General features: G+C 36.5%; 1 protein-coding gene across 8 annotated transcripts in view; it reads left to right on the top strand.

The window, feature by feature from the left end:
- Positions 1–12,558, top strand: part of ARHGAP29 (Rho GTPase activating protein 29) — a 145,688-nt gene that overhangs the window by 100,532 nt on the left and 32,598 nt on the right. For all 8 annotated transcript variants that reach the window (XM_047434759.1, XM_047434754.1, XM_011542439.3 and 5 more), the window contains 9 exons: positions 4,711–4,807; positions 5,157–5,229; positions 8,378–8,426; positions 8,863–9,000; positions 10,067–10,131; positions 10,851–10,961; positions 11,063–11,143; positions 11,329–11,517; positions 12,204–12,341. In XM_047434759.1, the coding sequence (XP_047290715.1) occupies positions 4,711–4,807; positions 5,157–5,229; positions 8,378–8,426; positions 8,863–9,000; positions 10,067–10,131; positions 10,851–10,961; positions 11,063–11,143; positions 11,329–11,517; positions 12,204–12,341 (941 nt within the window). The remainder of the gene's footprint in view (positions 1–4,710; positions 4,808–5,156; positions 5,230–8,377; positions 8,427–8,862; positions 9,001–10,066; positions 10,132–10,850; positions 10,962–11,062; positions 11,144–11,328; positions 11,518–12,203; positions 12,342–12,558) is intronic.

The raw sequence follows: 12,558 nt of genomic DNA, 5'->3' as shown, positions 1-12,558 counted from the left end.
TACTGTTATATCACCTCTCATTTTGCAGATATGGAAACTGAGGCATAGAGAGAAGCTTGTCCAACATACATATTAAGTGGTAGTGTTGTTGAAACTTGCAAAAAGGTTTAGTAGCTTGAAGACTTAGAAGAAAAAAGACATCTAATTTTGACTGATAGGTTATTGTTGACAGTGTTTTGTGTTATATGATAATAATAGCTAACATTTTTGAACATCTTCTATGTAACAGGCTCTGTTCTAAGTTCATTTAATCTTCACAACAGTTCTCAAAGTACGTAATTATCCCCAGTTTATAAATGAGGAAACTGAGTTACAGAGGGGTGAAGTTATGTAACATTGTAAGAGAGAGAGTTAGGATTTAACTTAGGCAGACTGACTTCGGAACCCATCCACTTTACCAGGCGTTGGCACACAGGCTGGTGGGCCAAATCTGGCCAGCTGCCTGTTTTTGTAAATAAAGGTTTATTGGAACACAGTCTTATCCATTTATGTATCATCTATGGCCCCTTTCAACAGAACTGACTGGCCTGAAAAGTGTAAAATATTTACTACCTGGTCCTTTATAGAAAAAGTTTTCCAGGCCGGGTGCGGTGGCTCACGCCTGTAATCCCAGCACTTTGGCAGGCCGAGGCGGGCAGATCACGAGGTCAGGAGATCAAGACCATCCTTGCTAACACGGTGAAACCCCGTCTCTACTAAAAAATACAAAAAAAATTGGCCGGGCCTGGTGGCGGGTGCCTGTAGTCCCAGCTACTCGGGAGGCTGAGGCAGGAGAATGGCGGGAACCCGGGAGGAGGAGCTTGCAGTGAGCCGAGATCACGCCACTGCACTCCAGCCTGGGCGACAGAGCGAGACTCTGTCTCAGAAAACAAGAAAAGAAAAAGTTTTCTAGCCTCTGATAACCGTTAAAGTGGGTGAAAAGCCAAATCTTGAATTTAAGGTTAACTTGGGAAGGAAGGCAATATAGGCCATGGCATGACCTATTTATAGAATTCTGTTCAGTAGTGAAGAAACCGTAAATGGTTTGAATGGTAGCTTTAAGGAGAAATATGGCAAAATGAACATTTTTTTCACATAGGAAAGATTTGAGTGTGTTAGTAACATAAGAAAAAATGTCAATTGAATAGGAGATAATGAAGCTGTGAAGGAGGAGTAAAGTTGGTATAGGGTTTTGGAGAATGTAGGAAAGAGTAGGTATATTTATTAGTGGAAAGGAGCCAAAGACTTTTCTTTGAAACACTGAGCAGGACAAAAAAGAGAATTATATTAGATATTAGAAATATAGGGCTGTTTTGAAGTCAGGCCAAGGCATTAGGAATAGGAATTTTCATTAGATGGCTATAACTTCGCTCAGGTAGGGATGAAGATAAGATGGTTCAAATGTTGAATTGGTTCAATAATTATTCTTTTCACTACTCAACAGTTGTTACAATTATTTTTTAATCTCCCAGTCATGTTTAGTTTGATAAAAAAATACAAGAAAGTAAGAATAATTATACAATTTTGGATAGGGTTATAAACTATTTTTTAACAGCTTAAAGTTAGGAAATACAAGTAGGATTTACATTTTTGATGGTATTATATTATAAATTACTATTTAAAGTCTACAATGTATTTTTATAAACAGCTTTATTGAGGTACGATTGTATAATAAACAATGGTGCAATTTGAAAATTCTGACATGCATCATACTCCTGTGAAATTGTCATCATTCTACCTGTATCTCTTGGTCCCCCCTTTCACAAATCTTGATATGTTGTTTTTTTCATTTTTATTCTGCAAAATCCCTTTTTTAAATTTTTTGAGATGGAGTCTCGCTCTGTCACCCAGGCTAGTGTGCAGTGGTGAGATCTCAGCCCACTGCAGTCTCCTGCCTCAGCCTCCTGAGTAGGTGGGATTGATTACAGGAGTGCGTCACCACCCCCAGCTAATTTTTGTACTTTTAGTAGAGACGGGGTTTTGCCATGTTGGCCAGGCTGGTCTCAAACTCCTGACCTCAGGTGATCCTCCCGCCTCGGTCTCCCAAAGTGCTGGGTCAGAATACTTTTTAATTTCCTTTTTTCTTCTTTGACACCTGGGTTATTTAAAAGTGTGTTATTCACATGGACACAGGAAGGGGAACATCACACACCAGGGACTGTTGTGGGGTTGGGGGAGGAGGGAGGGATAGCATTAGGAGATATACCTAATGCTAAATGACAGTTAATGGGTGCAGCACACCAACTTGTCACATTTATATGTATGTAACAAACATGCACGTTGTGCATATGCACCCTAAAACTTAAAGTATAATAATAATAAAATTTAAAAATAAAAAAATAAAAGTGTGTTATTTAGTTTCTAAATATTTGGAGATTTTCCAGAGATCCTTCTGTTGTTTCTGATTTAATTTCATGTTGTCACAAAAATATTTTGCCTCATTTGAATCCTTTTAAACTCATCAAGACTTGTTTTATGGCCCATAATATAGTCTATCTTGGTAACGATATTCAGTGTGCATTTGAAAAGAACATGTGTTTTGCTTTGTCAGGTAGGGTGTCATATAAATGTCTTGTCAAGGTGGTAGATAGTGTTGTTCTCATCTTCCCTATGCTTACTTATTTTCCATCTACGCGTTCTGTCAGTTATTGCGAAGGGTTATTGAAATCACCAGTTACAACTGTGAATTTATGTGTTTTTTGTTGCAGTTTTTCAGTATTTTAAAGCTCTGTTTATTAGGTACATAAATATATGGAATTGTTATGTCCTTTTTTTTTTTTTTTTTTTTTTTTTTGGAGCCAGAGCCTTGCTCTGTCGCCCAGGCTGGAGTGCAGTGGTATGATTTCAGCTTACTGCAACCTCTGCCTCCTGGGTTCAAGTGATTCTCATGCCTCAACCTTCCCAGTAGCTGGGATTACAGGCACGCGTCACCATTGCCTGGCTAATTTTTTGTATTTTTAGTAGAGATGGGGTTTCGCCATGTTGCCCAGGCTGGTCTTGAACTTCTGAGCTCAGACAATCTGTCCACCTCGGCCTCCCAAAGTGCTGGGATTACAGGCATGAGCCACTGCACCTGGCTGTTATGTCCTTTTGATGAATCAACTCTTTCATAATTATAAATGACTCTTTTTATCCCTGGTAATGTCCTTTGTATAGAAATCTTTTTTTTTTTTTTTTAAATAAGAAACAGAGTTTTGCTCTGTCAGGCTGGAGTGCAGTGGTGCAGTTATAACTAACTGCAGTCTTGAACTCTTGGCCACAAGTGATCCTCCTGCCTTGCCCTCCCAAAGCCCCGGGATTACAGGCATGAGCCACCACACCCAGCCTATTTCTTATATTTTATTTGAGTGTCTTTTAGTTGTTTCAGGTAGAAGTATAATCTGTTTCTCCATCTTGGTCAGAGCAGAAGTCTGAGAATATTTTTTAAATGCCCATTATTTAAGAACCATATTCGCAATGGTAACTTTTTCTTTTTGTTTGTATCAGTGATATTTAGAAGAATCTGATGAAGGTTATGGATCTTAGCCTCCCACCTGCCAATCTACAGAGGCTTATGCATATAAAATTTTGGTTGCAATTTCATGGGATTTATAGGCTTGAAGTTTAATTCACTCCTGCCTAGGAATTCTTGCTTTCCAACTCTCGTTGTGTATTAGAATCACATGAGAGAGCTTGCAACAAAATATATTCTTCACCACGTACCTATGAAATCTGAATCTTTGATTAGTGGGACCCAGACTTTGTTTTTATTAATAAAACTCCCCAGGTAATTCTAATGTGCAGCCAAGATTAAAGACAACTCTGTTTTAAAATAGAGAGTGACTTCTTCAAAAGGTTTATCTTCCTTCCCTTTATTGGTGAGAATATTAGGGAGGGGTCATATAGGGAACCAGTTACTCTTTATACCCAGCCCAAGTAGCAACAGTTACTTTAAAAAAATTACCAATTCCACTTTCAGACTTTGTCTTGGTAAACCGTGTTTGGGCTTTTAACAAGAGTGTATACAGAAGTTAAAATAAGAAATCTTTTTCAGTTTTGTTTCATAATTTGCTTTAACAAAATGCAAAATATTAGAATATCTCTATTGTAAACAAAATGCAGCTAGCTGTATGTCAATTAACATGGACCTCAGAGCCCAAGAGCCTGTTATAAGAAATAAGGCTGTAAGTAAATAGGAATTTTAATTTTCCAAATCACTGGGTGTTTTTTTTTAATGTGATGTGCTTTGTTACAGGTTTTATGCTTTGTCAAATATATGTATATGTATATATATATGACTTTAATTATTGGTAATTCATACTAAAAAATGTACCTCATATTGCCTTCAGTGAGCTACAGTGTGTTTAGCTGTTTTTTAAAATGCCAGAAAGCAGTAAGGAAGAGAAAATAGTACAGAACAGTGTTAATAATTGAGAGGTGTGGTGTAACATGGACTCTGTGACTCCAGCACTGATGGATTTCACATTGAGTCAGTTTTTAGATGTGTCAAATTATGTAATCCATGGAGTAGTCAGTTTGGAATGCTAACTGCTTTTATGCAAGCTGATTCTTTTATATGAATTTCATAATGAAGAATTTGAACATCATGTCAATTTTGTATGTTAGGCTTTTCAATTTCTGAATCTTCTAATGCTTCTTGAACTAATGATGAAGTTTTAAAGGATTAAATGATTCTGTATAAATCTAGTTTAAAGTATGTTTTTCCTTATTGTAACCAACTTTTCCTTACAGCTGTGAACTTCACAGAAGTTAATGAAGAAAACAAAAACGATCTCTTCCAGGAAGTGTTTTCTTCTATTGAAACTTTGGCATTTACCTTTGGAAATATGTAAGTAGAGAACTGTCATTTAAAGCAACTAGTCCTAGGTGTCTTAGTGAGAGTATGTTGCATTATCCAGTAACATACATGGGAAACGAAGTATTAAATGGTATTAAATATCACAACTTCGGAAAAACTACCTTCTGTATGGCCTTATTACTATATTCGAAGATATTTTTATAGCTATTTAGAAGCAACATCCATTTGCAAGTGACTGTGGTTTATGTGAACAGATTCCTAGGGGTTTATTTCTAAGGTTCTTATTTTTAAAAAATTATTTTAGATAACATGTTGAATGTAAACCCTGTCACAAAGAAGTATAATGACTTGTCTTTCTTTTTTTAACCTCCTTGGATAGCCTTACAAACTTCCTTATGGGAGATGTAGGCAATGATTCATTATTGCGACTGCCTGTTTCTCGAGAAACTAAGGTAAGCTAAGTTTGTGTGAAAGCAAAGTCTTTAATGTTTTTAACTTCATGTTTCAACTATTGCCTAATCTTAGGCCGGGGGTGGTGGCTCATACCTGTAATCCCAGCACTTTGGGAGGCCGAGGTGGGCGGATTGTCTGAAGTCAGGAGTTTGAGACCAGCCTGGCCAACATGGTGAAACCCCATCTCTACTAATAATACAAAAATTAGCTGGGCATGGTGGTGGGCACCTGTAATCCCAGCTACTCAGGAGGCTGAGGCAGGAGAATTGCTCGAACCCGGGAGGCGGAGGTTGCAGTGAGCCGAGATCACACCACTGCACTCCAGCCTAGGTGACAGAGTGAGACTCTGTCTCCAAAAAAAAAAAGAAAAATTGCTATGAAATAACAGAATATAAGGAATGTATGGATAATATTTCTTTAAAGTTTATGGTAGTAATGTTTTTAATTGACTAAACTTTTTTGCTGAATGCAAACAAAATACATTAAAAAACTGCATCAGGGACTTATGTTGATCATTTTCTGTTAAGGATGATCAAATCCAAGAAGGATTTCAACAGATATTTGGGACCAGGTATAGTGACTCATGCCTATAGTCCCAGCACATTAAGAGGCCAAGGTGGGAGGATCACTTGAAGCTAGGAGTTCAAGACCATCCTGGTTAACATGATTGAGACCCTGTTCCTACAAAAAATTAGCCAGGTGTGGTGGCACACACCTATAGTCCCGGCACTTTAAGAGGTCATGGTGGGAGGATCACTTGAGGACAGGAGTTCAGGACCAGCCTGGTTAACATGATTGAGGCCCTGTCCCTACAAAAAATTAGCCAGATGTGGTGGCACAAGTCTGTAGTCCCAGCTACTTGAAAGGGAAGCTGAGAGGGGGGATTCACTTGAGCCCAGGAGTTCAAGGCTGCAGTGAGCTGTGATTGTGTCATTCCTCTCTAGCCAGTGCGACTCTGTCTCTAAAAAAACACAAAGAAACAAAAACAAAAAAAAAAATCAAATATTTGGAAACGTGCCAGGGACTTATATTATTATAAAAACCTCAGGTCCTTCTTAAAATTATATAAAATAAAAATGACTATTTAAGGCATTTGTTATATGTATTACAATATTACCAAAAATTATGACCGTTACTGAAGCCATCTATTGACAAATGGAGGAGAATGATGAAAAGTTGTAAGATGTTTAAATATTTTGCTATTATTCATGATTATTCCTAAATTTTATCTTTTCAAACTGTTGCTACTACTTCAGAAGATTACACATTTTATCTGTGTGGCAAGACACTGAACAATTTAAATTTTAGGTGTGAATCATATTTCCTGTTTCTGTACCTCTATTGTGCATACATATTATACTAATTCTTAACAGGAAAAAATACTTTTTTCTTTTTTTTCTTTTGTACTTTTTTTTGAAGGTTTTAATTTGTTTTAGAGATTGGAATAAAAAAGCTGTGATGATATATAATCCTAATAATAAAATTACTTTGATCAACGGTTTTGAAAAATACCCTTTAAAAATAATAGGGCATGGTGGCTCATACCTGTAATCTCGTACTTTGGGAGGGCGAAGTGGGCGGATCACCTGAGGCCAGGAGTTCGAGACCAGCCTGGCCAACGTGGCGAAACCCAGTCTCTACTAAAAATACAAATATTAGCCAGGAAGGGTGATGTGCATCTGTAGTCCCAGCTATTTGGGAGGCTGAGGCACGAGAATCACTTGAACCCAGAAGGCAGAGGTTGCAGTGAGCCAAGATCGTGGCGCTGCACTCCAGCCTGGGTGACAGAGTGAGACTCTGTCTCAAAAATAAATAAATAAATAAATAAAAGTTGCTCCTTCTCTCTCTCTCTATATATATATATTTGCCTCATTTGAATATATATATTGCAACTATATATTATACATATATAATATTAAATATATATATATTTTTTGAGACAGAGTGAGAACTCCTTCACCTGGGCTGGTGCAGTGGTGTGATCTCGGCTCACTGCAACCTCCATCTTCTAATTTCAAACACTTCTTGTGCCGCAGCCTCCCAAGTAGCTGGGACCACAGACATGTGCTACCACACCTGGCTAATTTTTGTATTTTAGTAGAGATGGGGTTTCTCCATGTTGGTCAGGCTGGCCTCGAGCTCCTGACCTCAGGTGATCCGTCCGCCTCAGTCTCCCAAAGTTCTGTGATTACAGGTATCAGCCACCACACCTGGCCTGTTGCAATATGTTTAATAGTGGTTACTATGTACCATGCCTTGCGCTAGGCCTACATCATCTTAATTCTTAAAACAGTCTTTTGAAAGTAGTGTTCTTATCCCTCTTTTACAGAAGGACTTACAAAGTTAGTGAACTTAAAATATGTAGCCCAGTGTCATACAGGTAATAATGGAGCTGGACTTCAGACCCAGGTCTCCTCGATCAGTTTTGCATTGAATCCCTGTATACCCTGTATTGCCCAATTTAAATCGATTAAATTTGTTTAAGATCTCAAAATTTTGGTAAATGATGTTTTCCAGCACAATGCAATAAAGTAGCACGAGTCACATGTAGTTCTTTAAATTTAATTATAATAGTTAAATAAAATTAAAAATTCACTTCCACCTCCTAGTCACACTAGCCACTTATTAAATGTTCAAATAGCTACATGGAGCTATTAGCTACTTTATTGGACAGTACAGATATAAAACACTTCCATCATCATAGAAAGTTTTGTGCTAAGCTATGTAATAGACTTTCAGAGACATGCTTATCATATAGTAAAATGATAAAAGATGACTGGAAGAGGCAGATCTGTGTCTTCTGTTTAGATAGCAATATGTTTGCATTGCTTCTCTAACTTCTTGACTAATATTTTTGTTATCTGCAAAATTTAAAGTTTTGAATGGATTCATTAATGTTAACTAATGCTGTTAGTAACAACAGTGAGGTTGTTCATTCTTGGATCTTGGGAACTCCTGTTGTAAAAAGCTATGAAATTCTTATGAAGTGTTCTGGCACTTAAACAGACTTCTAAGGCCTTTAAGTTTTAAATACTTGAAATTCTTTAGCAGGAATTATGTCAGAGTAACAAATTGGGGCAAAAAAATTCTGAAGCAAAGATTTGTGTTCTTCTCTAATTTTAAATTTATCTTTTTCCATGTTGTAAGTCGTTTGAAAATGTTTCTGTGGAATCAGTGGACTCATCCAGTGAAAAAGGTAATGCTCAAGGTGTTTATAACTTTTCACAAACTTCTTGTAGTTACTTTCTATGAATGTCCTGGATTAATCTCTTCTTGCTTAGTAACCTAGTGTATTCATTTTTAATGCAAAATGATATATAAAGTTTTACATATAGAGCTTAAGGGAAATAACCTGCTAGAGTAGATAGATAATATGAGATATAGACTGATCAAGAATTGTGTAAAGCTTTTAACTTGATGGATAATAGAAATATATTTTAAGATAAAAATACATTATAGTTTGAAACCATTTTAAGTTTAAACTCTGGCCTTTTAATTGTAAATTTGTCACTTGTATTTTTTTTAAAAACCAGTTTTTATTGACTAGTATCTTAGGATCTCAGTGCTTCTTTGTTTGGAGTTATGATGTGATCACATTTAACATATACTTACCTTGATATTTTTGTTTTCAGGAAATTTTTCCCCTTTAGAACTAGACAACGTGCTGTTAAAGAACACTGACTCTATCGAGCTGGCTTTGTCATATGCTAAAACTTGGTCAAAATATACTAAGAACATAGTTTCATGGGTTGAAAAAAAGCTTAACTTGGGTGAGTTGCCTTTTAAAGCATCTGATTTAGAGTATAATAATTAAGTTGTTTCTAACTCATTTTTTACAGATTATGAGTAATAGAATTCCAAATTAGTACCTGTTTCATTATAATGAATAAAACCATTATCCAGAAAAGACTCTTCTTACACTAGATGGAATTAGTGAGTATTTACTGTGGACCAACTACTAGACCTAGGGACACAAAGACAAATAGAATACTGTCTCTGCCTTCAAAGAAGTCATACTCTAGTGGGTAAGAGGAAATGCAGTCAGATAATATGGTCAGGAGATAACAGCAACAATAGATGTATGAGTAGAAGGCAATGGAAACAGAGAAGAAACATTTTAATAGCTAATATTTCCTCAGTGTTTTACAGTTATCAAAATGTTTTCGTAGTCATTATCTTATTTACTTCTTACAAAAACTCTGAGAAGTAGGCAAGACAAGAATTGTTTTTCCTATATTACAGCTGAGAGAGACAAGACAGGAGATTTCTTAAGGTCATATAGCAGATTTGCTTAAAGTCATATAGCATAACTGGAAGAATATAGAATCTACCCAAAGCCTATGCTCTTTCTACTGTATTATTTGCTTATAATAGAGAATGCTAATCAGAATCACCTGAATAGTCTTGTAGAGGGTCAGTACACAAGCCTAGGTCCTATCCTTCAGAGAGGTGAAATGGAGGCAAATATATTCTGAAAGAGTTTCCCAGTTGATTCTGATGAGCACTCACAATTAAGAAGTGCTGCATTAAGAGCTGTACATGGTGGCTTATGCCTGTAATCCCAGCTATTCCTGAGGCTGAGGCTGGAAGATCACTTGAGCCTGGAAGATCACTTGAGCCTGGGAGTTCGAGACCAGCCTCGGCAACGTAGTGAGACCATGTCTCTTTTTAAAAAAAAAAAAAAAAGGAAGAAAGAAGTATTGCTGTATTATATCTTGATACACACTAGTATTTGTGATCACTTCTTAATTGTGGAATTACTACAAGTAATTTTAGAGTATACAGGGGGAAAAATAAATTGATTTTACCTTCTGATACCCTCTTTGAACTTTTCAGAATTGGAGTCCACTAGAAATATGGTCAAGTTGGCAGAGGCAACTAGAACTAACATTGGAATTCAGGTAAGTGTTCTGTGAACTTCGGGGGTTCTATAATAAGAAACTACTCATGAACTCCCAATAATTTGCAAAATCAGAATATTTCAGTTAATATAGGAAAGCACTTAAATGCTGATCTTTTTATTGACAAAATTATTTTAAGTTTAGATGGATGTCCATTATGAAAAAATCTAGGAAATACGCTTTTTTTTTCGTCTTAAGACAGGGTCTCACTCTGTAACCCAGGCTGGAGTGCAGTGGCGTGATCTCAGCTCACTGCAACCTCTGTCCCCCGAGGCTCAAGCGATCCTCCCACCGCAGCCTCCTGATGACCTGGGACTATAGGTGCCCACCATGCCCTGGCTAATTTTTGCATGTTTTTGTAGAGATGGGGTTTCACCATGTTGCCTAGGCTGGTCTCAAACTCCTGAGCTCAAGTAATCCACCCACCTTGGCCTCCCAGAGTATTGGGATTATAGGCATGAGTCACTATTCCCAGCCAGAAATTTACAATTTTATACAAATACTGATTGTCTTGATAGCTACTACTTTTGCTAACCAGTTTTATGATTAATTATAATTAATTTTCTTCTATATTTTTCTCATAGTCATGTTTTTGACTAGTTATTTTTCTGGGGGCAAAAGTCTAAACTTAGTTTCCCTTTTTGAAGAAGGGTAGTGATGTGTTTGGAATTCTAGTGCCATTTCTATTGTAAAATTTACTTTTCAATTTTAAATTTTAGGAGTTCATGCCACTGCAGTCTCTGTTTACTAATGCTCTTCTTAATGATATAGAAAGCAGTCACCTTTTACAACAAACAATTGCAGCTCTCCAGGCTAACAAATTTGTGCAGGTAAAGATTAATTTATATGTATAATGCACTTTTATTTTTAAGCAATGGCATGCCATTAGAAAATTGCTTTTCTCTTTTTCCATTTTAAATACCTTTCACAGCCTCTACTTGGAAGGAAAAATGAAATGGAAAAACAAAGGAAAGAAATAAAAGAGCTTTGGAAACAGGAGCAAAATAAAATGGTTAGTATTAAAATGGAGTTTCATGTACCTATTTGTGAACATTTAAAATAATCTGCAGTATATACTGACCTTCCTTGCTCTCATTTTTCTAAAATATTGTCTTAACTATCTTGCTGAATATGCTAAAGACACTTGTTCAGTAGGATTTCTTTCATATTCTGTGTTTAATACTCTTTTCGGTGTAGCTTGAAGCAGAGAATGCTCTCAAAAAGGCAAAATTATTATGCATGCAACGTCAAGATGAATATGAGAAAGCAAAGTCTTCCATGTTTCGTGCAGAAGAGGAGCATCTGTCTTCAAGTGGCGGATTAGCAAAAAATCTCAACAAGCAACTAGAAAAAAAGCGAAGGTTGGAAGAGGAGGCTCTCCAAAAAGTAACGATCTTTTTCTTTTTTATTTGCAAGTTGAATTAGCGGTAATCTGCCAGGAGTTTGGTGTCAAAGTTCTGCGTCTGCCAAGACTGCCTGGAAAGGCATGTTAAAACATGGCTAAGCCCATCCCCCAGAGTTTCTCATTCAGTAGGTCAACATTTTTTAATAGGCTCTCAGGTCGTGCTGATGCTGTTGGTGAAGATCCACATTTTGAGAACCACTATGCTGAGACCTGAATTTTGGAGTTTGTGAAAGAATGTCTTAGAGAAGGCAGTAGTTTATTTTACTTGACAAGAAAGTTCACCTTTTAGGCAAGTGTGTGTGTGTATGTGTACTAATTCAGGCACCTGATAGCAAGGATAGGCAAAAGCTTTGTATTATTGATGAAATGTAATTTTACGAACAAATTCTGTAAGATTATATGGAATATAGTAAATATAAATATAAAATGCTATTTCAAATAGAAGCAAATATTTTATAGACAGTGTACTAATTATAAATTGTACATGGCTGTCCATTAAAATCAACTGCCTTTGAATCACTGACCAGAACAGATTAACTTCAGAAGTATTATTTTGAAAACAGAAGATTTCAGAATTTTCAGTTATTTCAACTTAGCTTTACTATAGTAAATATTTGTTTAAAATATAAATTCTAGTGTTATTTTTTTTTCTGTGATATTTGTGAAGGTAGAAGAAGCAAATGAACTTTACAAAGTTTGTGTGACAAATGTTGAAGAAAGAAGAAATGATCTAGAAAATACCAAAAGAGAAATTTTAGCACAACTCCGGACACTTGTTTTCCAGTGTGATCTTACCCTTAAAGCTGTAAGTAATTTCTTCAGTATTTTGAAGGCAAGAAGAAAAGACCATCAGGCAAGGCATGGTGGCTCACACCTGTAATCCCAGCACTTTGGGAGGCTGAGGTGGGAGGATCACTTGAGCCCAAAAGTTTGAGGTTATAGTGAGCTTCGATTATGATTACCCACTCTAGAGTGGGTGATCAAGAAAGAGAGAGAGAGAGAGAGAGAGAGAGAGAGAAGGA

Source organism: Homo sapiens, chromosome 1, assembly GCF_000001405.40.
Source record: "Homo sapiens chromosome 1, GRCh38.p14 Primary Assembly".
In the NCBI taxonomy this organism is placed as follows: Eukaryota; Metazoa; Chordata; class Mammalia; order Primates; family Hominidae; genus Homo; species Homo sapiens.
Note: the sequence above shows the minus strand (reverse complement) of the source record. Positions and strands in the feature narration are given on the sequence as shown.